Here is a 12,939-nt window from a genome sequence, read left to right as displayed (position 1 = left end):
GATTAGAAAATGACCAGGATAAATGGCCAAGAATAAAATTCCCCCAAGTGTTGCGTATACATTCTACCAGAAAATATGTGACAACATTTTTAAGAAGTGTTTCCTGCCACAAAGGCAGAAGTGGGTGCTAATGTTAACAGCTCTTAAAAAGCTGTAGCCTGAAAAGAATAATGTCCTGAAAGGTAAATTGCATTTCCCTACAAAGGTTTTAATTAAAAAGCACTCTTACCTTCAGTCCTGACTCTTTAAACTTGCAATTTTACCAATAAGACAACAGTATTAATTCACTAATTCATTCAACAAGCATTTATGGAGCTCCAATTTAGCACTGAGACTATCCCAAAGTGAATGAGACACAGTTTCCACTTCTCAACAAGTCCATTTAGAGAATATGAACTTGGACAATTAATTAACAAAACCATGAGCTAAGTGTTATAGAGGCTCCAATAACACAAGCAGCAAGATCTTTTTAAAAATGTGCAATGTGCTCCTGGCTCAATATGGTGGAATAAGCACATGCATTATTTCTTGTCCTAACTAAAACCCCACTAAAATGAGAGTAAATCCCAAATTTCCACTTCTAGCCAAAATGGAGTAATAGGAACTTGCTTTATCCTCCCACCTAACCTCACTCCCCCCATCCCAGTACAAAATATATTAAATAATATGCAAGACACTGGACTTCAGCCAACAATCAGTGATCCTTGAGAGAAGGGAAGCAAATGACACGGGCCCAGTGATTTTTAAGCTTACTGCCTGGAGAGAAGTTCCAGGCTACAGCATGAGAGGGCAAATCCAGGCAGAGCCTGGTGGGCTCCTCACATTGAGTAGATGAAGCTGAGTCTGAGGACACCTAGGCAGCTAGAGTTTACAGAGAAGAGTACTGGAGAGAAGGCTTCACATAGAGAAAATGCCAAAGATCTAAAGATAGTCCTTCTGGCTGGGCATGGTGGCTCACAACTGTAATCTCAGCACTTTGGGAGGCCGAGGCAGGTGGATCACTTGAGGTCAGGAGTTCAAGATCAGCCTGGGCCAACATGGAGAAACCTCTATTTAAAAAATACCAAAAATTAGCTAGGCATGGTGGCTTGCACCTATAGCCCAGCTACTTGGGAGGCTGAGGCAGAAGAATTGCTTGAACCTGGGAGGAGGAGGTTGCAGTGAGTTGAGATCATACCACTGCACTCCAGCCTGGGTGACAGAGTGAGACTCCATCTCAAAATAAATAAATAAATAAATAAATAAATAACAATTTAAAAAAATAAGGATAGTCCTTCTTGAGTATTCAGCTGACTGCTGAGAAGTGTATGCATGTGAGGAAACTACCTAAGGTTAGGTGGAAATCCACACAAAAAGATTGAAGAACAGTGCCCGCTACTTACACAGACCTGGAAATAGAGTCTATTCCTGCTAGTCAGACTGGGAAACCTTAAGATTCTCTGACATAGAGCAGTTTGCCTCTATTGTAGGGAATAGCAACACCTAAACCAACCACTGCTTTGGTATCACCTAACAAACCTTAAAAGTGAGGACAAAGGATAAAACTGCTTCTAAGCAATGAAACTGTGTCTCAGATTAAAGCTTAAGAATATTGATAGGAATAAAAAAATGTCCAGTACCAATACAGTAAAATATACAATATCTGGTACCCAGTCAACAATTAACCAGCACACAAAAAGCAGGAAAATAGGACCATAAGAGGATATCAAATCAATCAATCAAAATAGACCCCAAATTAACACAGAATTAGCGGTTGCTATAACTGCATTTCAAATGCTTAAAAAGTTAAGTAGATACATGGAAGATATTTTTTAAAGGCCAAAATCAAATTTCTACAGATAAAAAACAATGTCTAAGATAAGAATTACATTGGATGGGAATAATGGAAAATTAGAGACTGCAGAAGAAAAGATTAGTGAACTTGAAGACATAGCTACAAAAATATTTAAAATGGAAGACAAAGGAAAAGATAATTTATAAAATGAGTAGAGCATCAGTGAGTTGTGGGCTAACTTCAAGTAGCCTGTACTTAAGAAACTGGAGTCCCTGAAATAAAAAGAGGACAGGATAGAAAAAAATTAGAAGATATAATGGATATAAAATGTCCAAATGTGATAGAAAAAATAAAACCAGAGATCCATGAAATTCAATAAACCCCAAGCGAAAGAAATACGAAGAAAATTACAGCAAGGTACATCATAATCAACTTTCTCAAAAGAAGTGACGAACAAAAAATCTTAAAAGCAGCTTCAGATAAGAAGGCACGTTATATGGAGAGAATCAAGGCAGGGATTATTGTATAATATATTTCTAGACAGAAATAATGCATGTGAGAAGATAGTGATGCAACATTTTTAAAGTACTAAAAGGAAAAAAACTGTCAAACTAGAATTTTATATTTAGTAAAATAGCTTTTAAAAGTGAAGAGGAAACAAAGACTTTTTCAGACACACAAAACTTAGAAGAATTCATCACTGGCAGATTTCACCACAAAATTTAAAAAAAGTCCTTTAAGGGTTATGAAAATAACACCAGATGGTAACAGGAATCTCTACAAAGGATGAAGAGTATTGGAAATGGGTGTGTGTGTACTTATGTGTATGTATACACATATACATATATATATACACATATGTGTGTGCATGTTTTACTTCTAACTTAAAAATCTCTTTAAAACACAATTAACTATTTAAATAAAAATAATAACATAATGTAGAGTTTATAAAATCTGTAGAGGTTAAATGTTTTCCAATAATTTCAAAAAAGATTGGGAGGGGAAAAATCAAAATATACTATTCCAAGATTATTACACTATATGTGAGCATAAAATCACTTGAAGGTAAACTGTGATAAACTAAATGTATGTACTATAAGTCCTAAAGTAACAATTAAAATAACAAAACAAAAATTATAACTTATAAGCCAACAAAGGACACAAAAAGAAATTGTAAAAATTATTCATTTAATCTAAAATCAGGCAGGAAAAGAGAAAAAAAAAAAGAAGAGATGGGACAAAACCCTCCCACAAAATTAGCATATAAACCTTATCACATCACATATCACATTAAATATAAATGGTCTAAATGCCCCAATTAAAAAGAAGAGATTGTCAAATTAGATTAAAAAAGAAGACCCAACCACACGTTGCCTACACGAAACACATTTCAAGTGTGATGGCACAAACAGGTTAAAAGTAAAAGGATAAAAAAAAATATCATGTGTGACACCAATCAAGGAAAGCTACAGTAATATCAAGCAAAAGATGTTTCAGATCAAAGAGTATTACCTGGGATGAAAAATGTCATTTCATAATGATAAGGAGTCATTTCATCAAAAAGACATAAATAATCACAAATCATGTCTATGCACCTACTAACAAAGCTTCAGTAGACACGAAATAGAAACTGGTATAACTGCAAGAAGAAACATGCAAATCCAAAAATATAGTCAGACATTTTAATACTTCTGTCTCAATAATATATAGAACAAACAGAATGAAAATCCATAAGAAAATAGAAGATCTGACCAACATTATCAAGTAACTTTTAAAATGAACATTTATAGAACATTTCACTCCCAAAACAGCAGAATACACATTCTTTTCAATAACACATGGACAGCTATAACAATAGATCATACAGTGGTCCATAAGTCTTATTAAACTGAAAATAATTAAAGTCACACAAAGTACATTATCTGACCACAGTGGAATTAAATAAAAAAATGGCAACAGAAAGATCTCTGGGAAATCTTCAAATATTTGGAAACAAAACAACATACTTTTAGATAACTCATGGGTCAAAGATGAACTCAAAAGGGAATTTAGAAAGTATTTTTAACTGAATGAAAATTAAAATACAATATATCAGAATTTGGAGGATGCCATTAAAACAGTTTTTAGGGAAAATTTTATAGTACCAGCTTATATTAGAAAAGAAAAAAAGTATTAGTTTTTCCCTTAAAAAACTAAAAAAAAAAAAAGAGCAAATCAAACTTTAAGTAGAAGGAAATAACAAAGGAACAGAAAACAATGACATAGAAAAAAGAAAAACAATAGAAAAAAGTTAATGAAACAAAAAGCTGGTTCTTTGAGAAGATCAATAAAACTGATAAACCTTTAGCCAGACTTATTAGGAAAAAAAAAGAAGACGGAAATTGCTGACAGGAGAATTGAGAGAAGTGGCATGACTGTTCAGTCCCCAGATGCTGAAAATATAAAAACGAGGATGTTGTGAAGAACTTTATGCCGACAAATTCAACAACTCAAATGAACAAATTCCTTGAAAGACATAAATTACCAAAGCTTACTCAAGAAGAATTAGATAACCTTGTAGCCCTTTATCTATAAAAGAAATTGAATTTGTAATTTAAAAAAAACTCTTTCACAAAGAAAACTCTGGGCCAAATGGCTTCAGAGGTGAATTATATCAAGTATTAAAGAAGAAATAATACCAACTCTACACAACTCTTCCATGAAATTGGAAAGGAAGAAATATTTTCCAATTTATTCTATGAGGTCAGCAATGCCTTAATACTAAAACTGGACAAAGACATTACAAGCAAAGAAGACAGACCAATATCCTCATGAACCTAGAAAAATTCTAAACAAAATTTTAGCAAATTGAATCCAGCAATACGCCAAAAAGAATATCATGGTAAAGCAGAGTTTATCTCAGGAATGCAAAATAGGTTTAACACTCAAAAATCAATCAATGATCAATATAATCCACTATATTGCTAAACTATAAAGAAAAACCATATGATCATCTTAATAGATGCAGAAAAGGCATCAGAAAAAATCTAACATATCTTCCTGGAAAGGCTCTCAATAAAGTAGGAATTAAAGGGAACATCCTCAATATTATAAAGGGCATATACAAAAAACCATACAGCTAATATCACACTTAATGGTGTAATATTCAAGACTGAATATTTATTACTTAAACCTGAATTTCCCTCCCTAGAATAAGACAGAAATAAGACAAGGATGTCTGCTCTCACCACTTCTATTCAATATTGCACCAGAATTCCTAGCCAGTGGAATAAGTTAAGTAAAATAAATAAAAGACCAGATTGTAAAAGAAGAAGTAAAGTTTTGTTTATTTACATATGACATGATTGTCAACTAGAAAATCCAATGAAGTGTACAAAAATGCTGTAATAAGTGAGTTGATCAAGGTGTAGAATACAAGATCGTTCTACAAAGATGAGTTGCATTTCTCTATGCTAAAATGAATAATCAGAAAATGATATTTGAAAAAAGATACCATTTACAACAGTATCAAAATATATGAAATACTAAGAAACTACAGAAAATAACTGAGTTGGCATCTTTTTAGAAATCCAAAATACTTGGGCATAAAATCTTATGTATTATTGTGAAATTTCAGAAGCACAAAAATAAAAATCCTGAAAATTTCCACGGGAGTAAACAGATCACCTATAAAGAACTAAGAATCAGACTGACAAGAGCCTTCTCAATGGTCAAAACATAATGAAGTTAGAGGAAAAGGTTAGGATAATAATATTAATTAAATTCTCATCTGACATAGCAAAAATTTGATAGATATTGGTTTAAGGTGGCAAACTACTAAATAAAGGTGTAAGCATATTATTTATAAATGTGGAGCTAACCACCAGAAGGCCTATCAATAGAATGGGTTAAAACTGGCTGCCTTTGGAAGTACGATGAGAGAAGAAAAAGATGGGGTAGGAAATAAATTTAATAGGGAATCATTTAATAACCCTATTGGTATTACTTGATTGTTTTTAACTATATGTATGATCTCAATGTGTTTTAAAAACACCTCAGTGGGTGCATGGTGACATCAGAGCCCAGAACAAATTAAATGGATCCTTGAGTAACATGGCTGCACTTTACATATGGCCATGAACGTCTATATTACAGCTAGTAGCCGGCTGTTTTCTTCCCAATATAAGCTTCAATTCGACTGAATTTATTGTGCTCTCTCCCTCCTGCCCCCCACCTCGCCCTGTCTCTCTCTGTCTCTCATGGTGACAAAGAGCCTTGTTGCTCTTTGACTCTGACGGAACAATGCTTATGTGTGAAGCCAAATGGTGTGGGGACAAGGTAGTCGGGCAAAGTATGTGCTCTGGATACACAGATGATGACCTCACACCAACAAGAACATGCAGACACCCAAAATTCTGTATGATTGATTCATTCTAAGTTGATGCAAGATTTTAATCGGTATGACCCCAAGTCTCGTGGGAAAAGTTGTTCCTTTTTCAATTCTCTTTCAATCCTATTTATGTCAAGGAGAAAAATGTTGGTTTGGTAGCCTTTTAAACAAGAACTCTTGTTAAAAGATTTCATTCTCAGACCTCCGGCTCAGAGTATTTCACTAATATTTGATTGTTGTATTTGTGTTTGTTTTCATGGTTACTGTCTATTTTATATATGAAAAGTGAAACTGGTTTTCCATCTGTGGCCAGTGACAAAGGTTAAATTTATCCTTTTAAATAAATTTACAAACAATAAGTAGGTAGTTTAAGAAGAATATTAAGCATATTCTTAGGAGGATATTAATATTAGAAGAATATTAAGCATATTAATAGGAGGAAAGTTGTTATGGCAACATTTGTCAAGATGGTTTGCAAATAACTGAAGTTTGGGGAACAGCAGTCTGGTAAAAGCCCTGACCTGGTTTACCTTTATCAAAATTTGTTTTTATTTATTTTATATGTGTATATTTAGGGGGTGCAAGTGCAGATTGCTTATGTGTGTATATTGCATAGTGGTGAAGTCTGAGCCCCGGTGTACCCATCATCTGTACTGGCTTGCCTTCTTCATATGGCTCCTGGCAGGACTGTGAAACAGGAAGGGAAGAATGTCCTCATTTAGGTTGGACATTGGCAGCATTTTCTGGGCAAGAAACTCTGAATTTGCTCATGCTTTTTAATAATCTCCCAATTAAATGCAACTGTTTTGAGATATATCCCAATTTGAAGTATACAATAAAACCTAGAATACAGCCTTGGGAGTTGTGGGCCCATAGTTTCTGAAAAGTAGATGGCAGGGAAAGTGCTGAGCTGTTTCTTTTCCTTCCCAATTACACCAGAAAAAAAAAAAAACCCAAAAAATAAAAATGAAAAAACCCTCCCACATATAATGAATGCGCTCACCCTCTCCACATATATGTTGCCTCAAACTTCAAACCTTCAATCCACATACATTTGTGAAAGAAAACATTCACACCAAAGCTGCTTTATCATCCTAGTTTGCTGGAAATGGATTTCAGTAGCTATGACCACACCCTCCCCACATGAGGCTCCCCTACAACTGAGGGATGGACAGCAAGGAGTCAGCACAGAGTCTCAGCTTCAAACCCCAAATGAATCTGGTTATTTCTCTAATAAGCAATGTATAATAAGTTTACAATGATAATTACAGCATATTTACAAGGAAATTCGGAGAAAAAAAGAATAAGATTGAAAAATATAAATCTAGGTCAAAAACAATGGTGACAAAAGACACCATAAACAAATTGAAAAGACAGGCCAAAGTCTGGGAGACTGACATATGTAACAGATACAGGATCACAATACAGTGTGTATATGTGTATATATATATGTGTGTATGTATATATACACATGCATACACACATAACTCCTACAAAGTAATTAGACAAATTAATAACCCAATAGAAAAATGGTCAAAGTGTTTGAATAAGCAAATAATAGGGAGGAAATACCAATAGCCAATAAACATATGACAAGTGGTTCGATCTCATTAGTAATAAGAGAAATGTACATTAACTCCATTTTGGAGAGCGATTTGACCCTATCTAAAATGTGCACATTCTGTAACCCAGAAATTCCATCTGTAGGTATAAACCTAGAGAGGCACTCATGTGCATAAGAAGTCACGCACCACAGTGGCATTTTTAATAGAGAAAAATTGGAACACAAATGCCCCTGAATAGGAGAAAAGCTACATAAATTACAGCATAGGCACAACATGAAATATTATGAAACAATGAGGTAGATCTATATGAATTAACATGGAAAGATCTTAAAGAAATATTAGTAAAAAGCCAGCTGCAGACACATTCAATGTTATGCCTATATAGGGGAAAAAGCCTTTAAAAAACAATGCTATCTAGTTGCTTAGTGCTATAGATTCACAGCACTGTGCTTAAATATACAAAAAATATTTCAGAGGATTCAGACTAAACTGGTAATTGTTACTGGGAAGGTGGAGGGTATTGAGGAGAGGAGGGGGAATAGGAACTTGTATGGTGGTAGAGGTCCAAGGTGATTTTTAACTTATCTATAATGTTTTAATTTTTTCAAGTTGCTGATATTTATGTATTACTTGAGTAATTTAAGTAATACTTGAGTAATTTATATAATGCAACAAAAAGTTGATAAAAAAATAACACTAATGATCTAAGAAGGACTGAGAGAAGGGGATAGAGAAGTTAGCCCAGCAGCATAGGATCTGCTACTGTTAGTTTACTGAAATTTGTGACAACATGAGTTGTCATAAATTCATCATGTGGAAAGCCATCCACGTTGGGCTCCCCTCCCATTTGTAAACGAATTGTCTCTGTGACTGTCCAAGGCTCACACGCTCCTGGGGCCCATGCCTCCCTCAACAGTAGGAAGGGTTGAGACCTCACTAATAAGACTCAAAGCTACAGTCTAAGAACCCTTGGTCAGAAGAAACTCAAAAAGATAATACACATGCAGTGTAAAGGAATCTTTCTCTGCTTCTTTATTAGATTGTTATATCCACATATTGCACTTTAGCAGCCAAAACAAAGTTCTCTAATGTAGTCTCATGGCAATAATATTGTAAAACAATACAAAATGGCAATAACTGGCCAGTTTCTGAAGGTGGAGGTCTGAAATCGACAATGCTTTTCTCAAAAACCACAACTTGGTAAAAGACACAGCTATTAGAAAACAGATTCTCTTCCTAAATGCCTTGAAATTCATGTCCTTTTTAATTGCCCAGAATTCATGTCACTTGTGTGAAAAAGCTATAAAAATACACAATCATAAAAACACACTTAGACATCCTGAACAAAATCAATGCCATATTATTTTAGTTTATTATTCCTTGTAGAATTCACACTGGTCTTCCTACTTTGATATTTATTTATACCAAAGAAGCAAAAGAACATAAATGCCACTCTTGGGACAGCACTAATGCTAGAATTGAGTAGAATACATATAGCTTCTGCCTTAATTTAAAAAACTAAAGCAGTCTTTACGAATCAACCTCACATAATATAGGACAAAGCTGAAGGTCACTGTATTATTCATTTAAAAAGGCACTGATAAGGATTAAAATTAAGGTTCATGAGGTTTGAAGGACTGTTAGCTTGCATAAATGGCTTCTTCCTTCCTAACTGCGGATGATGGGGGGGCAGGGGCGTGGAGGGGGGAGTTGATGATAAATAGTATAAAAAAGGATATACTTTTTTCTTCCCCCCAGGGCTTTGTTATTCGTCTCTCACTGGAACCTCTAAGCTCTTTATTCAAGAGGTCCTCTGATATTCACAACTTTGCTGCTCTTATGAAAAATTGATGATTGCTTTCTCTTCAACAGAAAACTGCCTTATTTTGCAGAAGATTAACAAAGAGGATGCGGTGCAGAAGTGAGTCCCTCAGCAGGAGAAGCTTCTCTCACACCAACCCATTTATGGCTGGGGGAAAATACCCCGTTAGTTCAAGGATAGCAAATAAATAGATGGTGTGCAGCCTGGTACAGATGGTAGAACAAGGACTACATCCTTCACAAAAGGGATGTGCCAACAAAAACAGCCTGCCCTCAACAGCAAGCTGACCCAACGCCCTGCTCGCTGACTCCTTTATGCCGGCACCGGCACCGAGTGCCACGCTGCGTTTGCAAGCTATTGTTCAGCAGGCAGATTTTCTGCTGGGGGTTAACAGGTGAGAGCAGTGATCCAAGAGCAAAATAGAGAGGATGCTTTTAGTTAAGCTGCCAATGCTTAGCAAACACTTCTGAAAATATCACAGCTCAATATTGCATCATTCATGAATGGAAGAGCTGCAGGGTGGGGGGTGCTTGTTTCAAAATGATTTACCAAAGTAAGGAGAGAGTGCAGAAATGCAGAAATAAAATAATGTGGCTCATGTTCTGTCATAAGTATGCGTCAGCTTTCATTTTAACATCTAGTTGTGGCCATCAAAGTAATTTCTGGTGAAATTCCGCTTTCACTATTTAAAGTCCCACATTGTTACATCATTTCACATGTTAATTTCACTCAATCTTTGATGACCACATGTCCCCTAGACTCCCTAAAGCCAGAGAGGTTATATTAATTATTGTTCGTTAGTAAGGGACCGGGCCTCAAACTCAGCTCTTCCCACCCTGAGCCCAGCACTCCTGGGAAGCTGTGGAAGGGCATTCACACACCCTGATCCCGGCATCCAGCCAGCCAGGGGCTGGGGACAGAGCACATGAAAAACGTTTGGAAAGAACAAAGGGGCCCCTTTCTTTCATACCTGTTAAAATGGCTATTATAAAAAAAGATGGAAGACAAGTGTTAGCATGGCTGTGGAGAAAAGGGAACCCTTGTGCACTGTTGGTAGGAAGGTAAATTAGCACAGCCGTGATGGAAAACAACATGGAAGTTTCTCAGAAAACTAAAAATAGAACTACCATGGGGCCCAGCAATCCCACTTCTGGGTAGAGATCCAAAGGAGCTGAACTCAGTGTGCCACAGAGATATTTGCACTTCCGTGTTCACTGCAGAATTCACAGTGCTGAGTTATGGAAGCAACCGAGGTGTTCGTCATTGGATGAATGTATAAAGAAAACGTGCGTGTACAAGACGGAGTACTATTCAGCCTTTAAAAAGAAGGAAATTCTGTTATTTTTGACAACAGAGATGAACTTGGAGGACATTACACTAAATGAAATAAGCCTGGCACAGGACAAATGCCACATGATCTAACTTGTGATTCTCACATGTGGAATCTGAAACATCAAGCTCACAGAAGCAGAGGGTACAATGGTGGTTCCCAGAGGCTGGGAAAGGGGGTTGGAGGGAAAAAGGTGAGAGATGAGGGTGCAAAATTTTAGTTAGACAGGAGGAATAAACTTTACTGAGCTATTGCACAGAATGGTGACTAGAATAAGTAATAATGCATTGTATATTTCCAAATTGTTAAAAGGGGAGACTTCAAGTGTTGTCACCACAAAAAAAGATAAGTATGTGAGGTGATGGATTTGTTAGCATGATTTGATCAATCATTCCACATTGCACACATACATCAAAACATCACATTGTGCCCCACAAATACACAATTATTTGTCAGTTAAAACAAAGAATGAAGGCGGCACCCACCTGACGCTAAGCACCTAGAAATGACTGAATTCCACCAACATGTGGTTGGCATGGACATGGCCTTTGCCTTCACGGAGCTTCGCGGACTCCTGGGGCAGGTGGGGCCAAACACATTCTGACCCTGATAACTCTACCATCACACTTGTGATGGGCCAGACTTTTGGAGCTGTGGTTCAAGGACATATCTTTTGTGAGTTTTTTTGTCTGTTTTTAACTTGTTTTTTAAGTGTTTGGAGTAAGAAAGCACTGAGCTTGGGTGGCTGAAAGTGTGTGATGGAGAATCTATAAATGATAGTTTCATATAGATCAGTTGTGCTCGTCATTGTCTGTATTGGTCTATTTTTCGGTGTCACTAACGGCATATGAAATGACAATTAGAGACGTCAGCTGCTCTTTGACTTGAATATACTTTCCAGAGAGCACTAAATCTACAGTGTTTCTCCTCATTTGTATGAATCTTAAGGTAGTTGAGGGACAATGACTGCTGGGCCCTGTAGAATGTTTTCTCTATGCCAAGCACTGCTCCAGGACCCTCTGAAGTGTTACCACTCAGTTAATCTTCACAGAAGTCCCATGACACTTGCACTGTTATTTTACAGGTACCCCATTTTGCAGATTAAGAAACTGAGAAGCAAAAAATTAAAGTGGTTTGCCTAAGGTTTCCAGATAATAGGTGGGAGAGCTGGGATTTAAAGCTGGTAGACTGCCTCCAGTCTGCTATGACTTCTGCCTGAAGACAGATGATATCTAAAATAATTTTTAAACATATGAAATTCATTTTCAGTATAATTATAGATAGCAGATCAAAATAACTAGAAAAATCCAGGAAAAAGAGCCATGAATATACACTTTCAAAGAGTGTGCAATGAAGAGCAAAATCAATTCTTGCTTTATAAGCTATCACAAGGATTTTACCACTGTCAACATTTTATTATTAGATATCAAAAAATCATTACCACCAAAACAAAACATTCACAATGATATAAAAATGGACTTTGCTCCTTAAGGAAATGCTATAAATATGCACAAGAAAATATTTTTCTCTGAGAAATGGCAATCAGCCAATAAATCAGCAAGTCACACACGAATCTCCTCTCTTTTCCTAGAATTTAACACATGAAGATTTAACAAGGCTTGTAACCAGTTCAACAAGAATGAGAGAAGCCTGTTAGAAGCCATCATTAAATCTAAAACTTAAAACTTCTGCATGACAAAATACATCATAAAAAGGTTAAAAGACAAGCTATACATAGGGAGTAAATATTTGCAACATGCCTAGTAAGAGAAGACTGTTAACCAGAAATGATGAACAACTCCTACAAGTCAGTAAGATAAGCAACTCAAAACAAAGAAGCATAAATAATAGGTTCAAGGATTTCACAGAAAAGGAAATTCAAATGGCCAATCAACATGGAAGGATGTTGAACGTCACTAGCAATTACAGAAACTCAAAATAGAACCACAATAAGCTACTTACTTCAAATGTGCAAAATGTTTAAGTTGGTCGGTATCAGATGTTGGTGTAAGTATGGGGAAATGAGTGCTTTCATATGCTGCTGGTGGGAGTCTACATCATAGCCAAGTTGGAGGTACT

At 36.0% G+C, this 12,939-nt stretch overlaps 1 long non-coding RNA gene across 1 annotated transcript, besides 2 other annotated features; it reads left to right on the top strand.

Moving 5' to 3' along the window:
- The first annotated feature begins 6,123 nt into the window (after positions 1-6,123).
- LOC105371243 (uncharacterized) lies at positions 6,124-10,128 on the top strand. The gene is made up of 2 exons (XR_933533.3): positions 6,124-6,211; positions 9,581-10,128. It is a non-coding gene; the product is annotated as an uncharacterized LOC105371243 (long non-coding RNA).
- Positions 9,354-9,853: an enhancer, noted in NCBI's record as "H3K4me1 hESC enhancer chr16:49346697-49347196 (GRCh37/hg19 assembly coordinates)". NCBI's record gives its function as "activates a minimal SCP1, AML or CMV promoter by ChIP-STARR-seq in naive H9 embryonic stem cells {active_cell/tissue: H9 hESC(naive)}" and the evidence as "EXISTENCE:reporter gene assay evidence [ECO:0000049][PMID:30033119]".
- Positions 9,854-10,355: an enhancer, noted in NCBI's record as "H3K4me1 hESC enhancer chr16:49346195-49346696 (GRCh37/hg19 assembly coordinates)". NCBI's record gives its function as "activates a minimal SCP1, AML or CMV promoter by ChIP-STARR-seq in naive H9 embryonic stem cells {active_cell/tissue: H9 hESC(naive)}" and the evidence as "EXISTENCE:reporter gene assay evidence [ECO:0000049][PMID:30033119]".

Source organism: Homo sapiens, chromosome 16 (genome assembly GCF_000001405.40).
Source record: "Homo sapiens chromosome 16, GRCh38.p14 Primary Assembly".
Taxonomy (NCBI): domain Eukaryota; kingdom Metazoa; phylum Chordata; class Mammalia; order Primates; family Hominidae; genus Homo; species Homo sapiens.
Note: the sequence above shows the minus strand (reverse complement) of the source record. Positions and strands in the feature narration are given on the sequence as shown.